Source organism: Homo sapiens, chromosome X (genome assembly GCF_000001405.40).
Source record: "Homo sapiens chromosome X, GRCh38.p14 Primary Assembly".
In the NCBI taxonomy this organism is placed as follows: Eukaryota; Metazoa; Chordata; class Mammalia; order Primates; family Hominidae; genus Homo; species Homo sapiens.
The window spans coordinates 155,616,752-155,638,484 of NC_000023.11; the positions used below are offsets into that span (position 1 = coordinate 155,616,752).

At 36.0% G+C, this 21,733-nt stretch overlaps 1 protein-coding gene across 4 annotated transcripts in view, besides 1 other annotated feature; it reads left to right on the plus strand.

Annotated features, from left to right (window-relative positions):
* The window catches only part of SPRY3 (sprouty RTK signaling antagonist 3), a 169,874-nt gene that overhangs the window by 4,166 nt on the left and 143,975 nt on the right, over positions 1-21,733 (plus strand). The gene's annotated exons all lie outside the window — the stretch shown is intronic.
* Positions 15,847-15,896: an enhancer, noted in NCBI's record as "active region_30078". NCBI's record gives its function as "activates an Ori minimal core promoter by ATAC-STARR-seq in GM12878 lymphoblastoid cells {active_cell/tissue: GM12878}" and the evidence as "EXISTENCE:reporter gene assay evidence [ECO:0000049][PMID:35858748]".

Genomic DNA, 21,733 nt, shown 5'->3' on the forward strand with positions numbered 1-21,733 from the left:
ATATACCAAAGGATAATTTTCTCAGTTTTCCTGGGGCTGAGGAATTCCCTGTAATGTGCTAAAACCACAACAGTTCAGGGCAAACTAGGATGCTTAGTTATTTTATTAGTACCCATGTTAATAGGGGTGGGAAAGTTAAAACCGTCCAGTAATATCCTACTATATAAACAATTGTACTTTACTGTATTTATGGAGGAAATTCTATGTATAGTGGTTTTATTGGATTAGGATAATTTATAAAGGTCTCAGAAGAATTCCCTTGAAGATGACAAAAATTTCATACTTTAATTCTTGCATGCTGGTTCCCTTGTGCATTTATACATTCTTCCTCCATCTAGAATGCTCCTCTCACTGCAACCTCCCTCTCCTCAACCTTGTCCTCACTGTTAGAAATGCTTCTTGCCCATTTCTCTAGTTTCCACATGGAATTATTTCTCTAAATTAAGATTAAATCACATAATAAATGCCAAGCACATATCATAGGACATGGCATAAAATAGGGGCTTGTATCAGTCAAGGTTCTTAGTTGCATGCAACAGAAGCTGAAGCTGACTGATTTAAGCAGGAAAAAAAGTTATGTTGGGAATGACACTGGATCAGCACTCTTGCCGTTAGAAACATCATAAAACTGCATAAAATATGCAAGGAAACTGTTTAAAGATATTGAGCAATAGTCAGCCCATGATTATGATCCCCAGGAAAAGAGAAACTCACAAATCAAGCCCCAAGACTGCCTTAGCTCTTTGCCTGGTGACTATTTTCTGATCCCAGCATCAAGAGCTAGATTCCAAGCTGAGCTTGCAGTCTCATTGAACGAAGGAGGAAAAGATCAGAGCTCAGGGTAGCAGAAGCATCTGAAATCTATGGAGCAAGGCATTAGAGAAGACAATCTGTGCAGATGTTGGGACGGGTAAACATATGTCTTGGGGTTTCCAGCAAAACTTTAAAAAGAGGAGGAGTTATAGAACTTCTTGGTTTCAAGACTAACTATAAAACTACACTTATCAAAACAGTGTGGTATTAGAGTAAGAAATAACAAATAAGTCAATAAAATAGCTCAGAATCCAGTAATAGGCCGACATATATTATGGTCATATATTTCTTTGGTTTTAACCTTCTATTTGGAAATAATTGTCAATTCACAGGAAGTTTCCAAAAAATACAGGGAGACCTCGTGTACCCTTTACACAATTTCCTCTGATGGTAAAATCTTGCCTAACTCTGGTACAATATCAATCCAGGAAATTTACATTGGTAAAATCCACAGAGCATATTTGAATTTTACCAGTTACACATGCATATGTGTGTGTGTGTAGTTGTATAAAATATTCTATGTGTAACTTTGTATAATGACGACCACAATTAAAATGTAGAACATTTCCATTGCCACAAGCTTTCTCATGCTGCCCCTTTATAGCCACACTCACTTCCCTTTCTCCTCCTCAACACCTGGCAACCATTAATATGTTCTCCATCTCTATAACTTTGTCATTTCAAGAATGCTATATTAATGGAGTCAGGCAATATGTAACCTTTTGGGATTGGCTTTTTTTCTACTCAGCTTAACTCCCTTTAGATCCATCTAAGTTGTGTGTGTCAATAGTTGATTCTTTTTTATTGTTGAGTGGTGTTTCATGGTATGTATGTATCAGAGTTTGTTCAACCAATAACCCACTGAAGAACATTTGAGCTGTTTTCAGTATTTTTCTATTATCAGTGAAGCTTCTATGAGCATTCTTGTACACATGTGTTTTTTTTGGGAATACCAGTTTTAATTTTTCTGGCCTAAATGTCCAAAAGTATGTTTCCTGGGTTATATGCTATTTGCATATTTAATACTTTAAGAAACTACAACACCGTCTTCCAGAGTGGCTGTACCATTTTATATTCTCACTGTCAATGTATGAAAGATCCAGCTTCCATGCAACCTTTCCAGCATTTTGTACTGTATTTTTTATCTTAGCTATTTTTTATGTCAGGTATTCTGACAGGTCTGTGGTGATATCTAATTGTGATTTTAATTTGCCTTTCTCTGATGATGAATGATATTGAACATATTTTCATGTGCTTATTTTCTATCTGTATATAATCTTTGGTGAAAGGTTTCTTCATGTCTTTTGCCCATTTTCTACTTGGATTGTTCAGCATTTTTTATGGTTGAGTTTTGAGAACTTTATATATTTAACATACTAATTCTTTGTTAGATATGTGGTTTACAAGTATTTTCTCCCACTCTGTTGCTTGTCTTTTCATCCTCTTAAGACAATATTCTGCAGAGTAAAAGTTTTGAATTTTGAGGAATCCAATCTACCAAGTTTTTTTATGGATTGCGCTTTAGATGTCAAGTCTTTACTGAAACCTATATCCAAAGATTTTATCATGTTTTTAAAAAAAGTTTTATAGTTTTGTGGCTTACATTTAAGTCCATTATCCATTTTCAGTGACTTTTTTTGGTAAAGTATGAAATTTAGGTTGAAGTTCATACTTTTGCCTATAGATGTTCAGTTGCTCCAGGACTATTGCTTGAAAGGCTATCCTTACTTTTTTTTTAACTTGCTTTTGCACATTTGTCAAAAGTCAGTTGGGCAAATTTGTGAGGGTCTGTTTCTGTTTTTTTGTATTTGGTTCCATTGATCTAAGTGTCTATCCTTCAGCCAATACAATGCTGTCTTATTACTTTAATTTTTTTATATCATTACCAATGCCTTTGAACAGGGAAATTCTCTTAAACCACTGAAAGTTGAAGAAAATGAACCTCAAACTCTACCTCATACCATAAAAAAAACTCAACTTAGAATTAATCATAGACCTAAACGTAAATGCTGAAATTGTTAAGCATAAGGAAGAAAACATGGGAGAATATCTTCATGATCTTGTGTTAGGCAATTGTTTCTCAAAATAGAAAAAAAATCATTAACCATAAAAGTTTAAAGTGATAAACTTCATTAACATTAAAAACTTCTGCATGCCAAAGACATTGTTATGAAAATGAAAATATAAGCCATGGACTAAATACAAAATATTTATAATACCTATATCTTACAAAAGTAAGGTATCTATAATACATATAGAACTCTTAAAATCAAACATAAAAACACAAACAAACCCAATTAGAAATGGGAAAAAGATTTAAACATATACTTACAAAAGAAGATGTACGAATGGCCAATAAACATATGAAAAGATGTTCAACATCATTTACTCTTGAACTGAAGGAAAAGTTAAATCACAAAGACACAACACTTCACACAAGCTATAACATTTAAAAAAGAATGATACTACCAAGTGTTGATGATGATGTGGAGCATTTTGAGTTCTCATACATTGCTGATGGCAAAATAAAATGGCACAATTGCTTTAGAAAACTGGTTAGCAGATTCTTATAAAGTTAAACACACTTTATAAGATTCTTAGTTAAACACACTTTATAAGATTCTTAGTTAAACACACTTTAGCAGATTCTTATAAAGTTAAACACACTTTATAAGATTCTTAGTTAAACACACTTTATAAGATTCTTAGTTAAACACACTTTAGCAGATTCTTATAAAGTTAAACACACTTTCCCTATGACTCAGTAATACCACTCCTAAGTATTTACCCAAGAGAAATGGAAATATATACTCATACAGTCTTCTGCACAAATTTTTACAGCAGTTTTATTTGTAATAGCTCCAAACTGCAAATAATTCAAAACATGCAAATTGATAATTAACTATACATCCATAAAATGGAATACTACTCACCCATATAAAATAATTACTCGAAAGCAACAAACGTAGATGAACCTCAAAAACATTATACTCAGCTAAAGAAGCTAGACACAAAAGAATACATACTGTATGACAATTTATATAAAATTCTAGAAATTCCAAAATTAAATTATGCTGGTAGAAAGTAGAATAATGGTTTCCTGGAGCAGAGGAGTTGTGTATTTACTGGAAGGAGTAATGACAAAACCCTTCGGAGTGATGATAATGTTCTGTATCTTGATTGTGTTGTTGGTTACACAGTGTATACATTTGTCAAAACTCGTTGACTTGTATAGTTAAGATCTGTACATTTAACTATATATAAACTATACTTCAATAAAAATTAAGTTAGAAAAAACAGATATTTGGTGGCTAACAGAATTATCATGAATCGTGGAGAACCAGGCATGGGCTGGGTGTCTAGGACCACCAACCAAAAATTCACTGCACAACTGGTGTGACGAGGAAACCTCTTTTACTACCACAAAGGACTAGATGCTACTATATATACCAGTGCTATTTCTACAACAGAAAATCAACTTTACTGCAGCCAGTAATGCCAATGGCTGCCGCTTCTATGCTGGAAACCCGATTTACCAACTATTATTGTTCACAGAGTCAGTATGAGTGCAAGAATATGCAAGAACAGCTAAGTTTTGTGATCAAACTCTGTCACTATCATTATCTTCAGTTTATTCTGCTTATGTGATTCTGAATTGTTTTTAACTTTTGTTTTAGCAGACATTCTATGCACGTCTTGTACTATAAATAGCTTAAATCCATTTTGGATTTAAGTCAAGAAATGCATACAACAATGAAGTATATTCTAGTCATCAAACCATATTAATTTTTTCTCATATTACCTATTACATTTTTTCCAGTCTTACTGTTGGTGAGGCAAGAACCCTGGGCTCTGGAGTCAGACAAACATAGGTTTTAATCCTGGTCTACTCACATTGTCTACTCCATCCTTCCTGGATTTTCCTTTGTTCTACCACTCTCCCACTTCCATGAGTTTTCTTCTCCCTAAACATTCCTTTTTGTTTCAACTATTTCTCATAAAATGAGTTGGGCTATCATCATATGCCAACAGGAAAAAATGTGTCTTCAAGGGTCTGTAGGCCAAGTTACCAAATGATGTCCTCTCCACTCTGGTAGTCAGGGTGATATCAGCAAAGGTCCCCTCATTTCAGTATGGTCAAAGATTTATTTGAAATTCAGTGTATTACCAGCAATGCTTGGCCCAACTTCTCTAGTATGACTGACTTCCTGAGCAAGAGACTCAATATATCTGGGGCTCCAGAGCAGCCAAAGGTATTCAAGGGTCTCTTCATTTATACCGTATCTTATTACACAACGTCTATGCATCTGAGAAAGGAACTTCACCAACAGAGCAGTGCAGAAGACCCCGACATGGGTTCCCTGCCCTGCTTTTACTACAAACTCACAGAAGCCAAAGGCTACCCGCAAAGGGCAGGTGGGTGGTCCTCACTATCAAGTCAGTATCTCTGGAGTATAGGGCCACCTCCTGTACAGGCATTAAGGTCAACAGGCTTCATGTAGAAGCAATTTCAAACCAACACCTGTGCTTGTCAGAGCATGATGGGCATTCAGAAAAACCCTCACTCTGCACTTTTCACACTCTAAAGTCAGACTGTTGGGGCTATAAAATATATGTGATGCAAAGTATAGTAACTTTCAGAGGACTAACAAGAAATTATAATATCACTGCTTTTGGAAAATAGGTTCTAGTGGCCCTAGGGCATGTTTCATCCCTGAAGGATTGTGGGTATTGAAAACAAACCACTACCTGCAGTTAAAGTGAGAACTCCATGCTGTAAAATCAGTGTTAACCAGACATCCTACACTTATGTGATTTGTCTTAATTAGAGTTTGAGCTCCATAATTCACTGTCTCAGCGGCTTATTCTGGCTGTATCCCTCAAGTTTGCACAGCCAACCCCACCTTCATTCTGTAGTGGAACCCAAATAGGATCCTATCTATTGGAGCCATGTCTGCTAAGTAAAAATAAAAATGGAGATACCTAGGGCATGACTTTGCACTACAGGCTGAAAATGCTGCAGTTTGTGCAGAAAGCAGTACTTGTACAAATTTCTACAAATCAAGAATTAGAAGAGGAGAAAATAATAATGTGGATCATCACAGTGTCCTGGAAGGTTCCCCCTCCAAGTTTCTTCATATTTAAAAGATAGCAGTCTCTCAAAATGTTAAATTATCTGAAGATGATACTTTTATCAGTAACTTCTTGAGTCAAGCAGACCAACAGATGGGTCTGTAAATTTGGAAGCAAAGACCCAAGTGGGACCATAAAGAAACATTTATAACAGATATCCAGCATTCATTAAGGGGTCTCAATTAAACCACTGCCTTTGCTAGAACTCCATACATATGATATTGCATTTTTCATCATATATTAGGATTGCTTTCCCCAAGTATATGAAATCAAGAGCTAAGAGAAATATCAACCAATTGTTTTGGAATCCCCAGCTAGGCCAAACAGAATCCTATATCCTGATTCCCATCACTGAACCTCACAGTGGGGCTGACTTCTGATGTGCAGCTGATTGATTGCTGTCACATCCTTACCTATATGTTTGTGGCCTCACAGACCTCTAGCAACTTAAAGGATACTGGGCCAAATTTCACAAATTAATGGCCCATTTCAGGGATTGAGTATATAAAAGTAAATAATATATTCAGATTACCTAGGATCTTCTTTTCTTTATGGCTATTGTCCTCTATGACTCTATTTATCCATGAACTTCATTGCTTCTTAGAATCATTTTCCTGAATTACAGTGTCCAAAATGAAAGTCCACATTTTTTTCAACAGAGGAATGGGCACTTTTCTGAAAATAAGCCATATCATATTGAAATACAGTTACACAAAATATGTGAAGATACCTTATTTAAATCATTTCTTAGAATTATAGAATTTTAGAGAAAAAGGAACTTTATGCACTTTTTATTGAACTTGTTTTGATTTAGTTAAGCTCTCTCATTTTACAGATGTGGAAACTCATACTCCAAAATATTATGAACAATTTTGCCCCTGTATTCACCTGTTACCAGTTACTGCTCTATCTGATGCTGTTTTTGTCTTCAGTAGAACTGACTCGCCCTGAATTTTTCATGTTTTAGTTAGAACTTGTCATTGCTTACTCGTGGGTCCAGACGCTAGTCCAATATGCATCAGAAGAACTTGCAGGTGGTTTATTTTCTTTCCACTTGCTCTTGAAGAGACAGCTTTGCTGATTTCTGCATTTCAAAACCTGTCTAGTACCAGACATTTCATGAAGAAGATCAAAAGCTCTCACTCTAAGTGAAACAAAATTTGGTTTAATTAATAGCTGTGTAAGCTTAGGCAAGTTACTTAACCTCTCTGTGTCTTAGTTTTTGCATCTGGGAGATAAGGTTAATGACACATACCTTGCAGGATTAACGTGTGAATTAAGTGAGATAGTGAATGTAAAGCACCTGGCTCAGATTTAGAGTGTAATAAATCATTGCAGTTTTTCTTATCTATTAAACACAATATTGGGAAAAGCATTATATGGCTTTTTAAAAAACATTCCTTGTTAGATAGGAGGCTGCTTTTTTCCTTTTTGAATCTTCAGTGCAAATAAAAATGTGGGAAAATGTGCAGCAAAATGGTTTATTTTTGGCATTTGCCTGTTTAAGAGAGTTCCTCAGCTACTTTAGCAATTCAATTAATGCGCCTCTTCTCTCCAGGGATTCATCTGGCATTTATTTACAATGAGTTTCCTTTTCAACTAACTACCATACACCAGGTAACCTGAGCATATCTACAAATCTTTTAACAAAATTGTTATACAAATAATGTATGTTTTAGATGAAAAACTAGAAATTACAGAAAAACACAAATGAAGAAAAGTTAAATATTTATACTTTTACCACTTTCTTACAGAAATACATTATTTACCTATCTGTATCTATATAATCTATATTTGCATCTATCATCTATTTATCTATCATCTATCTATCTATCTATCTATCTATCTATCTATCTATCTATCATCTATCATCTATACATCTATTTGTGGCCATAGCAACACTACAAAATCCCTTTTAAAATGATCAGTTTCCCTCTGGCAAGAGACTTCATAATGTAGTATTTTCACTGATTAGTTTCATATGTTATTTAGCAGGCCTGATAACAGTGTATAATAGCAAATAAATTTTAATGAAGTAGACAATTTAAATTGTGCATTGACAGTAATTTCATAGTCCAGGATAATGAACTTAATAGACTACAGCAGAGTATTTCTTCCTTTTTGTTTTGTTCATTCAACAAATGTTTATTAAACACCTACTATATGCCTATTCTGAGAATAGAACACGGAATAACAGATAGAAATGGCTACTGGCAAGAAAGTTACATTCTAGTACAAACGTAAATTTCTTCTCTTAATACAATGTGATGCAATGCAAAAATGAAACACAGAATAGTTGAGTCAATTCATCTAAGTCACTAAACTATAAAAGGAAACAGGAAAATAAAAGGAGCTATTAACTTTATTCCACATTTCACAGCTTTGAGGCATCTTTTTAAAACACTTTTTTGATCAATTTTTTTAATTTTAATTGACAAATAATTGTGTATATTTATGAGGTACAATGTGATGCTTTGATTTATGTATACATTGTAGAAAGATTCAATCAAGCTAATTAAAATGGAAAATTCTAAACCTGTACTAGAGAGAATGATACACTGATCCCCATATACCTATCATTCAGCTTCAACTATTCAATTAATGGCAAATTTTGTTTCATCTAGATTATTTTGAAGCAAGTCCCTTATATTTTATCTTTTCATCTGTAAATGTTTAGGATGTACCTATAAAAGATAAAAACTGTTTTATTCAATATAACCACATGCAATTATTACAACAATTTTCCCCTGATATCAAATATATAGTCAGTATCTTAATTGGTCATTATGTTTTTTAAATCTCTTTGAATAGATATTTCCTCTCCTTCCTTACTTTTTTTCTTGTTATTTATTTGTTGAAGGGTTTTTTTGTTTCCCACAGTCAGTTTTGCCTGTGAAAATGTTTTTAAACAACTTTGTTGAGATATAATTCACTTATAGTAAATCCAGTATATCCACAGAGTTGTGTATCCACCATCACAATCAAGTTTAGAAAATTTTCATTACCCCAAAAACAAACCCTGCATCCCTTAGCCATGACACCCCAACATCACTCCCTACCACTGGCAACCACTAATTCATTTTCTGTCTATTATTCCAGACATTTTATATAAATCAAATAATACAATGTGGTCCTTTGTAACTGTATTATTTCACTGAGCATAATGTTTTTAAGGTCAATTCATGTTTCATTTCATTTCTTTTCATGGCTGAAGAGTATTTCATTATATGGATAAACCACATTTTGTTTCTTTTTATTGGTTGATATGCATTTGTGTTGTTTCTACTTTTGGCTTTTGTGAGTAATTCCACTATGAACATTCATATACAAGATATTTTGTGTAAATACATTCTCATTTTTCTAGGGATGGAATTGCTGGATTATATGGTAATTCTATGTTTAACCAATTGAGGAACTGCCACACTATTTTCCACAATGGCTACACAATTTTACATTCTTACTGGCAACGTATGAGGTCTCCAATTTATCCACATCCTCTCCAACACTCATTTTAGTTGATTTCCTTATTATTATTGTAACTATCCTAGAGGAGGTGAAGTGGTATCACATTATAGTTTAGATTTTTATTTCTCTAGGGACTAATGATGTTGAGCTTCTTTTTATTTGCTTATTGTTCATTTGAATATGTTATTTGGAGGAATACCTATGCAAATCCTTAGCCCAGTTTTAAATTGGCTTATTTTTCATTTTATTGTTGAGTTGTAAGAGCATTTTACATATTCTAGATACAAGATCTTGTCAGATATATGATTTGCAAAATTTTTTCCCATCTGTGAGTAGTCTTTTCACTGTCCTGATGGTGTCTTTTGAAGCATACTAGTTTTTAATTTTGATGTTGTTGAATTTATCTATTTTCGCCTTTTGTTGCTTGTACTTTTGGTGTTATATCTAAGAAACTACTACCCAAACTATAGTCATAAGGAGTTACATCTATGTTTCTTCTAAGAGTTTTATATTTTAGCTCTTACATTTATATCTTTGATACATTTTTAGTTAATTTTTATATATGATGAGATGTAAGGGTTCAACTTCATTCTTTTATACTGTCGGCATGTTTTCAGTGTCCTGTTTTTTTAGCCAAAAATTACCACGTAAGTAAGTGTTCCCTCAGTTCAATTATCTCAACTCAATATGACCTGAGAAAGCATTAGAATTTGATAGGGAGCAGAGGTTTCAAATCATTCTACCCCAAAGCTCCTTCATCTGAAGCCAGAGCTGGTATATCTTTCTTTTGTTAAAATGACAGATAAAATTATATGTATTTATTGTGTATAGTATGATGTTTTGAAGGATATATACATTGTGGAATGGTAAAATCTACATAATTAACAAAAGTGCATTATCACACATAGTTATCATATTCGTAGTGAGAATGCAACATCCAATCTCTTAGCTATTTTTCAAGAATACAACATATTGTTATTAACTATAGTCACCATACTGTACGATAGAACTTATTCCTCCTATTTAACTGTAATTTTCTATTCTTTAACCAACATCTCTCCACCTGCCCCCTGTAACCAACCACCCTGCCCTCTAGGTAGCCACCATTCTATTCTACTTTAATGAGATTAACTTGTGGATTTCACACGCATGAGATCATGCAGTATTTGTCTTTCTGTGCCTGGCTTATTTCACCTAACATAATGTCCTCCAGGTTCATCCATGCTGTGACAAATAACATGATTTCCTTTTTTATGGCTAAATAATATTCCAAAGTGGTACTGGAATAATATTTCAAGTGGTATATATGCCACTTTTTAAATCCATGCACTCATTGATGGACACTTAGTTTTATTCCATATCTTGGCTATTGTGAATAGTGCTGCGATAAACATGGGTATGCAGATATCTCTTTGACATACTGATTACATTTTCTTTGGATATATACCCAATAGTGGGATTGCTGGATCATAAGCTAGTTCTTTTTTAATTTTTTTAATTTAATTTAATTTTAAGTTCTGAGATACATGTGCAGAACGTGCAGGTTTGTTACATAGGTAAATGTGTGCCATGGTGGTTTGCTGCACCTATCAACCCATCATCTAGGTATTAAGCCCCACATGTATTATCTATTTATCCTGATGCTCTCCCTCCCACCCCCCAACAGGCCCGTTATGTATTGTTCCCTTCCCTGTGTCCATGTGTTCTCATTGTTCAGCTCCCACCGTGATTGAGAACATGCAGTGTTTGATTTTCTGTTCCTGTGTTAGTTTGCTGAAGATGATGACTTCCAGCTTCATCCATGTCCCTGCAAAGGACATGATCTCATTCCTTTTTATGGCTGCATAGTATTCCATGGTGTATATGTACCACATTTTCTTTATACGGTCTATCATTGATGGGCATTTGGGTTGATTCTATGTGTTTGCTATTGTGAATAGTGCTGCACTGAACATACACGTACACGTATCTTTATAACAGAATGATTTGTATTCCTTTGAGTATATACCCAGTAATGGGATTATTGGGTCAAATGGTATTTCTGGTTCTAGCTCCTTGAGGAATTGCCACACCGTCTCCCACAATGGTTGAACTAATTTACATTCCCGCCAACAGTGTAAAAGTGTTCCTATTTCTCCAAGCAATTGCAACAAAGGCAAAAATTAACAAGTGGGGTCTAATTAAACTAAAGAGCTTCTGCACAGGAAAAGAAACTATCATCAGAGCGAACAGGCAACCTAAGAATGTGAGAAAACTTTTGCAATCTACCCATCTGACAAAGGTCTAATATCCAGAATTTACAAGGAACTTAAACAAATTTACAAGAAAAAAATAAAAAAGTGGTCAAAGGACATGAACAGACACTTCTCAAAAGGAGATATTTACGTGGCCAACAAACATATGAAAAAAATCTCAACATCACTGATCATTAGAGAAATGCAAATCAAAACCACAATGAAATACCATCCCACACCAGTCAGAATGGTGATTATTAAAGGGTCAAGAAACAACAGATGCTGGCAAGGCTTTTTTAAATTTTTTGAGGAACCTCTGTATTATTTTCCATAGTTAGTATACTAATTTACCTTCCCACCAACAGTGTGCCAGGGTTTCCTTTTTTCCACATCCTCACCAACACTTGTTATCTTTTGTCTTTTTGGTAATAGCCATCCTAATAGGAATGAGGCAATATCTCATTGTGGTTTTGCTTTGCATTTCCCTGATGGTAATGATGTTGAGTATTTTTTCACATACCTGTTGACCATTTGTATGTCTTTTTTTGAGAAACACTGATTCAGGTCTTTTGCCCATTTTTTTTCTTTTTTCTGTTTTCTTTTTTGTTTTTTTGTTATTGTTTCTTTTTTGTTATTATACTTTAAGTTCTAGGGTACATGTGCACAATGTGCAGGTTTGTTACATGTGCTATGTTGGTGTGCTGCACCCATTAACTCGTCATTTACATTAGGTATTCCTCCTAATGCTATCCCTCCCCCCTCCCCCCACCCCATGACAGACGCCGGTGTGTGATGTTCCCCATCCTGTGTCCAAGTGTTCTCATTGTTCAATTCCCACCTATGAGTGAGAACATGCAGTGTTTGGTTTTCTGTCCTTGTGATACTTTGCTGAGAATGATGGTTTACAGCTCCATCCATGTCGCCACAAAGGACATGAACTCATCCTTTTTTATGGCTGCATAGTATTCCATGGTGTATATGTGCCACATTTTCTTAATCCAGTCTCTCATTGATGGACATTTGGGTTGGTTCCACGTCTTTGCTATTGTGAATAGTGCTGCAATAAACATACGTGTGCATGTGTCTTTATAGTAGCATGATTTATAATCCTTTGGGTGTATACCCAGTAATGGGATCACTGGGTCAAATGGTATTTCTAGTTCTAGATCCTTGAGGAATCACCACACTGTCTTCCACAATGGTTGAACTAGTTTACAGTCCCACCAACAGTGTAAAAGCGTTCCTATTTCTCCACATCCTCTCCAGCACCTGTTGTTTCCTGACTTTTTAATGATCGCCATTCTAACTGGTGTGAGGTGGTATCTCATTGTGGTTTTGATTTGCATTTCTCTGATGTTTTGCCCATTTTTAAATCAGGTTATTTGTTCTCTTGCTATTGACTTGTGTGAGTTCCTTACTTCCTTATTAGATACATAGTTTGCAAATATTTTCTCTCATTCTCTCCACTCTGTTTATTTCCTTTGCTATACAGCAACTTTTTAGTTTGATGTAATCCCATTTGTTTATTTTCACTTTTGTTGCCTGTGCTTTTGAGGCCACTGTGTAGCTTTTCCCATATGTTTTCTTCTAGTAGTTTCATAGTTTCATTCTGTTAGGCTTACAAAAAACATCATATAGTTATAACAGGTTGTTTTAAGCTGACAGCAACTTAACTTTGATAGCCAAAAAACAAACAAACAAACAGAAACCTACAGTTTTACCCCATTCTTCACTCCCACATTTTGAATTTTTTGATGTCACCATTTACATATTTTAATATTGCATATCCCTTAACAAGTTATCATAGTTATTATATTTGATAATTTAGTCCTTCAATCGCCATACTAAACATATGAGTGATTTACATGCCACCATTACCATATTATTCTGAATTTGACTATGTCCTCACTTTTACTAGAGAATTTCATACTTTCAAATGTTTTCATGTTACTCATTAGAGTTCTTTCTTTTGCAGCTTGAATAATTCCCGTTAACATTTCTTGTATGACAGGTCTGATGGTGTTAAACTCCCTCAGATTTTGTTTGTCTGAGAAAGTCTTTATATTTCCTTCATTTCTGAAGGATAGTTTTGCTGGTATAGTATTATTGGTTGACAGTGGTGTTTTTTCTTTTCAGCATTTTGAATATATCATCCCATTCTATGCTGGCCTACAAGGTTTCTTCTGAGAAGTTCACTGCTAGGCATATTGGAACTCCCTTATATAATATTTGCTTTATTTTTCTTGCTGCTGATTTCAGGATCCTTTTTTTGTCTTTGATTTTTAATAGTTTGGTCATAGTATTCTTATTTGGATTGAATCTGATTGGAGACTTTTCACCTTCCTGTACCTGGAGATTTATATCTTTCTCCAGATTTGGAAATTTTTCTATTATTTCTTTGAATAAGCTTAGATCCCTTTCTCTTTCTCTTCCCCTTCATGAACCCCTATAATCTGAACATTTGCTCTTTTGATGCTATCCCATAAATCTCAGAAGCTTTCTTTATTCCTTTTTATTCCTTTTCTTTTTTCTCCTTTGATTGTATTTTTTTTTATTTCAACTTTTATTTTAGATACGGGGGTACATGTGCAGGCTTGTCACATGGGGATTTGTGTGATGCTGAGGCTTGGGGTACAGATCCTATCACTCAGGTAGTGAGCATAGTACCCAGTACGTACCTTTTCAACCCTCACCCCTCCTTCTCTCCCTGCTCCAGTAGTCCACAGGGTCTATTGCTGTCATATTTATGTCCATGTGTGCTCAGTGTTTGGCTCCCACTTTTAAGTGAGAATATGCAGTATTTGGATTTCTGTTTCTGTGTTAATTCACTTAAGATTGTGGCCTCCAACTGTATCCATATTTCTCCAAAGGACATAATTTCATTCTTCAATATGGCTGCATAGTATTCCATGTTGTATATGTACTGTATTTTTTTTATCCAATCTGCCATTGATGGGCACCAGGGTTGATTCCATGTCTTGGCTATTGTGAATAGTGCTGTGATGAATATATGAGTGCATGTGTCTTTTTGGTTTATGATTTATTTTCCTCTGGATATATACCCAGTAATGGAATTGCTGGATCAAATGGTAGCTCTGTTTTTTAAGTTTTTTGAGAAGTCTCCAGACTGCTTTCCACAGGGCTGGACTAATTTACATTCCCATCAATGGTGTATAAGCATTCCCTTTTCTCTGCAGCCTTACTAGCATCTGCTGTTTTTTTGACTTTTTAATAATAGCCATTCTGACTGTATATTTTTGAATAATCTTTCTTCAAATTCACATTCTTTCTTCTGTTTGATCAATTCAGCTGTTGATTCTCTCTATTGCATTTTTTATTTTATTAATTGCATTTTTAGTTATAGGATTTATTTTTTATTGTTAATTTTAATTTTTGTGGGTACATAGTTGGTGTATATATTTATGGGGTACGTGAGATATCTTGATACAGGCATGTAATGTGTAATAATCACAACAGGGTAAATGGGATATCCATCTTCTCAAGCATTTATCCTTTGTGTTATAAACAATACAACTACACTCTTTTACTTATTTTTAAATGTTCAATTTAATTATTATTGACAAAGTTATTAATATAGGTACACTTATTAGAGATTATGGATTTAGTGCATTAGCTTGTACAGAAGGAAGTAACTCTAACAGCTTCTTTGGCTAGTTGACTAAAATTTGGACTGAATGGCAGCCTACATTTAAATCAGTTGAGATGTTAGAACTTTCGTGACATAATGTAGAGGAAGGAATATGAAAGCTTAGGGAGATAGGAATGATGGAGTGAATTCATCATATGTGATTTCCACAGCCACCACACACACACACACACACACACACACGCACACACACACTGTATCCCCCAAGATGGCCCAGAAAATATTCCTTTCACTAAGGTTTTGAGAAATATATTAGTGAGAAGAGCACCACTGTATTAGTCGCCTAGTGCTACATTAACAAACCATCCTCAAACTTGGAAGATTAAAAAAAACATTTATTTAGATCACAAGTTTACAGATTGACCTAGTGGTTCTGCTGTCCTGTGCCAGGCTCAGCTTACCTTGACAAGACTCACTCATGCTTGTGACATCAGCCAGCAGGTCATCTGAGGGCTGGCTGGTCTTGAAAGAACTCAGCTTAAATGGCTCATCTCTATTCCCCATTGTTTTCTCATCCTCCAGCAGGCTAGCTTAGGGTTGTTTATATGACTGTGAATAAGGTTCCAAAAGAGAAAGTGAAAGTGTACAAGGCTCTTGAGGCGTGAGCTCAAAACTAGTGCAATGTCACTTCTGTCACATTCTATTGGTCAAAGCATGTTACAAGGCTAGACTAGATTCAAGGCATGGGGAAATATATTCTACCTCTTGATAGGAGGTTATTCGCCACAGAGCAAAGGAGCATGGATACAGGGAGGAGTAAAGAATTGTGGCCATCTATTCAATCTACTACAATCAGTGCCCTTGTAAAGTTCTGTGATGGTTGTCTTACGTAGGCCAGGTATGACAGTGGAAAGTTACAACACTGAGATGAGTGCCCTGATATCAGTCAGTATGTTGGTATCCCTGAGTAGCAGAGGCCAACTGTCAGCCCTTAACTACAAGAGATGAGAGTAAGTACTTTAACTGGAAATAAGGACAAAGTGATTATCACAATGTTTTGGTCCTCAACAATTTTTGATGGCAGCTAATTCATCACAGTGTCCTTTGGAATGAAATAGATGGGTAGATTACTAAAATGATATTTGATCTAAACAACAAGAATCTAGGTTTGATAGAAACTTGACTTGAATCACTAAAATGGAAATTCATGGCTCCTCAAACCCAGTTCTAAAACACCTAAAAAGTTCATAGACCAGGCCGGGCACGGTGGCTCACGCCTGTAATTCCAGCACTTTGGGAGGCCGAGGCGGGCGGATCACAAGGTCAGGAGATCGAGACCATCCTGGCTAACAAGGTGAAACCCCGTCTCTACTAAAAAAAAAAAAAAAAAAAAAAAAAAAGTTCATAGACCTAGAGCTCTGTGATCAAAGGAGAGGATAGGTCCCCTTGATGAAACACCCCGGAGCACTGCCATAAATATATACTGTAAACCTTATCCCAAACCTTCTCCAAAGGGACCTATAGCCATTTACCGTGGTGACAGCATAGGGAAAAGGAAATAGCCAGATCTTTTGGGGGATATTAGACACTAGCTCTGAATTGATGTTAATTTCTGAGAACCCACATTATTACACTGGTTCACGAGCTTAAATGTGGGCTTATGGAGGTAAGATGATAGTGGAGTTTTGACCTATGTTTGTGACAAGTAAATCAGATTACCCACCCTATGGTTATTCCCCCAAGCTCTTGAATATATAATTGGAGTAGACACATTCAGACAGTGGCAGAATCTTCACATTTGCTCTCTGATCCATGAAATGAGAGTTATTATTGTAGGAGGAGGCAAGTATAAGCCTCAAGAACTTCCCATTAGTAACAGAATAGTAAACCACCATGGTGAAACCCTGTCTCTACTGAAAATACAAAAATTAGCTGGGCGTGGTGGCATGCGCCCGTAGTTCCAGCTACTCGGGAGGCTGAGGCAGGAGAATTGCTCAAACCCAGGAGGCGGAGGTTGCAGTGAGCCGAGGTCACGCCACTGCAATCCAGCCTGGCGACAGAGCGAGACTCCATCAAAAAAAAAAAAAATCAGAATCTATCGCTTCGGTGAAGTTTTCTTGGGATCCAAAGGACAGGAGCATTTTGATATATCTTCTCACATGCCTTACCTGGATATTGTTACTGTTGAGTGCCTAGCCTGCCAAGATAGGAGAGGAACACTTGGAGAGAGCAAGCCATCCACCTGGTGACAAGTTGACTGCGTAGGATAGCCTCTATTAAGGAGTAGTAAATGATTTTTCCTCACTGAAATAGACACTGGCTCTGAGTATGGATTTACCATAATATTTCTGCTACCTTTATCATGTGTGGACTTGTGAAATGTCTTATGCACCATCATGATATTCTAATGACATTGATTCTTAATAAGAAACTCAATTCACAGCAAATGAAGCACAGAAATGGGCTTATACCATGGAATTCATTTGACTCACCATATACCAAATCACCCAAAGGCAGCTGGACTGACTGAACAATGGTTAGGCTGCTGAAGATCCAGTTGTGACATGAGTTGGGAGACAACTCCTAAATTTTGTAGGGTTTTGTTTTGTTGCATTATACTTGGCCAGATTATTTGTGTAAAGTGCAGCAAAAATAATTATTTTTTACATAGGTGTTTTAAATTAGCTTTGATGGAACTTTGTTCCATAGAAGGATCCTCAAACAATACTTTTTTAAAGCTGAGCCCAGCCATGGATTTGTATTATCAAATACCTGTGAGTTGGGTAAACTCCTCTCCTCTTGAGGTCGCAAGATAACTTAGGGCTCCTGGGCCTAAGTTATATATATATATTATATATGTACACTTTATATATATAATATATATAGTATATGTATAAAGTATATAAAGAGTTCTGGGGTACATGTGCAGAACATGCAGGTTTGTTACATAGGTATACATGTGCCATGGTGCTTTGCTGCACCCATCAACCCTTCATCTCCATTAGGTATTTCTCCTAATGCTCTCCCTTCCCCAGCTCCCCACCTCCCAACAGGCCCCAGCGTGTGATGCCCCCCTCCCATGTCCATGTGTTCTCATTGTTCAACTCCCACTTATGAGTGAGAACATGTTGTGTTTGGTTTTTTGTTTTTGTGTTAGTTTGCTGAGAATGATGGTTTCCAGCTTCATCCATCTCCCTGCAAAGGACATGAACTCATCCTTTTTTATGGCTGCATAGTATTCCATGGTGTGTATGTGCCACATTTTCTTTATCCAGTCTATCATTGATGGGCATTTGGGCTGCTTCCAAGTCTTTGCTATTGTGAACAGTGCCACAATAGACATACATGTGCATGTGTCTTTATAGTAGAATGATTTATATTCCATTGGGTATATACCCAGTAATGGGATTGCTGGGTCAAATGGTATTTCCAGTTCTAGATCCTTGAGGACTCTATTCATCTGACAAAGGGCTAAATATCCAGAATCTGCAAAGAACTTAAACAAATTTACATGAAAAAAACAAACAACCCCATCAAAAAGTGGGCAAAGGATATGAACAGACCCTTCCCCAAAGAAGACATTTATGCAGCCAACAAACGTATGAAAAAAGCTCATTATCACTGGTCATCAGAGAAATGCAAATCAAAACCATAATGAGATATCATCTCACACCAGATAGAATGGAGATCATTAAAAAGTCAGGAAACAACAGATGCTGGAGAGGATGTGGAGAAATAGGAACACTTTTACACTGTCGGTGGGACTGTAAACTAGTTCAACCATTGTGGAAATAGGTGTGGCGATTCCTCAGGGATCTAGAAGTAGAAATCAAAGTGGAAGTGGCTCCATACCATGGAATTAATTTGACTTACCATATACCACATCACCCAGAAGCATCTGGACTGACTGAACAATGGATAGACTGCTGAAGATCCACTGTGACATGAGTTGGGAGAAAACACTTAAATTTTGCTTTTAAGAACCAAGAAATCAAAGTGGAAGTGGCTCCTCAATAACTCACTTAAAGAATTTTGGTTCTTGTTCTGGTAAATTTGAGCACTGCTGGCTTACAGGTTTTACTTACCAGGGGAGGAATGCTTTAATCGGGGACACAATGATTCCATTGAATTGGAAGTTGAGACTGCCACCCGCTATTAGCTATTTGGAAGTTCTTATGCCAGTGAACCAAAAATCAGGAAAGGCTACTCTACAGGCTGGAGTGATTGATCCAGATCTCCAAAGAAATTAGGTTGCTGTCCCACAGTGGGGTCAGAGAGGACTATGCTTGCACTTAGGAAATTCTCTGGGGAACCTCTTTGTATTTCTATGCTGAATAGTGAAGGTTAATAGAAAACTACATTAAGCAGGAAATAGGCAAGATTTTTAAGGATTCAGACCATTCAGGAATAAAGCTGTGGGTCTCCCTACCAGGTAACACAAAATGGGCTAAGGATATATGAATTAGTTGAAGAAGGATGTTTTAGATATTAACTACAACCCAAAACCATATGGTGTATATGTAGCAATGAGACAGTCTCTTCCTTGTTTTTATGTAGGTAGGTATGTATGTATGTATGTATGTATGTATGTATGTACGTATTATATATAAACTGTATGCATATATTGACTAATTTATTTTTATTTCTCTTCTTTCCCCTTATTATTTTATATAAAATCATTTTTGGAAGTTAACTTTACAGTTTAGTGTTTATGTAAAAATTTTCAGATGGGACTGTAAGTGAATTTGAAGAGAAATCAACATAGTTCAGAGGCAAATACAGTAACTATTGTGACTTTGTCACTTCTCATTTTGGGGAGATTGTGAGAGTGTTTTTGTGTGAAGGATAGTGACAACTTATTAATTAAAATTAATAATATTGGGACATGGATGAAATTGGAAATCATCATTCTCAGTAAACTATCGCAAGAACAAAAAACCAAACACCACATATTCTCACTCATAGGTGGGAAATGAACAATGAGAACACATGGACACAGGAAGGGGAACATCACACTCTGGGGACTGTTGTGGGGTGGGGGGAGGGGGGAGGGATAGCATTGGGAGATATACCTAATGCTAGATGACGAGTTAATGGGTGCAGCACACCAGCATGGCACATGTATACATATGTAACTAACCTGCACATTGTGCACATGTACCTTAAAACTTAAAGTATAATAATAATTAATAAAAAAATTAATAATATTAAAATACAAAGAGTTATTTTTGTTGGTGTATAGAAGTGAAGATACATGTAAAAGGATATATATGAATACTTAGTATCCAAATTGGTATGCTGTACTGGTTATTAATAGTCTCTGAGACTCAGGCCACACTGTGTGTTATGCTCTGTGATGTTGAGGCTCAGATTTTGTAAACCACATTTATGCTCTGCCTGCTACCTCCCTGGTAGTCTTTGCCTAAAGAAGGTGCTAGAGCAGTGTCAGTTCCTGCCAGTAGCAGCAGCTTAATCCAGTTTGCAGTTTCCCCAGCATTTCCAGAATTAGCCTTATTGCACTTCCTCAGATACTCCACCACCAGTTGGCAGTACCCCCTCCCCAGAAGTGTTCCATTGGAAGACCCTCCTCAAGTGCACTCAGATGAGCATCATCAGGCCTGTGCTCCCTCCTAAGAAGTCTGCATTTCACATTTGCAAAGCCTTTCCTCCAAATTTCTGGGATTTAATAATTTCAAACTCTTCCCTTTGTTCCCCCCTAGGAGTGGTAGCTGCTTCCTGCTGTTACCATATCCATGGTAATTTATTGTTTTCTTTTTGCATTTTTATTTTTCCAATGCCTAGTTAACAATTCTTTATGTTAGTTTCCTCTGCTAAAACAATTGGTGTGTTTTCTGTCTCCTGACTGGAACTTGATTGACACAAGCAATTTACAGGCACACCAGCAGTGTAAAAGCATGTCCTTTGTTCCACAGTCCTTACAACAGAAGGAAGTGTTAGTAATTCTCAGGGTTGTTTTTTTTTTTTTTTAATTTAGCCATTTTCATGGGTGTGTAAGGTAACCCCATTGGGTTTTAATTTAAAATTTCCAGAATATTTATAAAGTCAAGAAACTTTTTTATTTTTAATGGAGTGTCTGAGTTTCTTATTGGGTTGCCTTTTTTTCTCAAGTGGGTATCCCAGCCAGCACCACTTATTGAAAAGATCACCCAGCTGGGCGTAGTAGCTCATGCTTGTGATCCTAACATGTTGGGAAGCCGAGGCGGGAGGATTGCTTGAGCCCAGATGTTCAAGACCAGCCTGGGCAACATGGCGAGCCCCTGCCTCCTCTAATATATATATATATATATATATATATATATATATATATATATATATATATATATATATATATATATATATATATATGTAAAGTTTTAAAAAAGAGGAAAGAAAATGTCACCCTTTCTGTACTGCTCTGCAGTGCCACCTTTGTAATAAATCCAGTATCCATATGTGTATGGGCCTGTTTCTGAACTCTCCA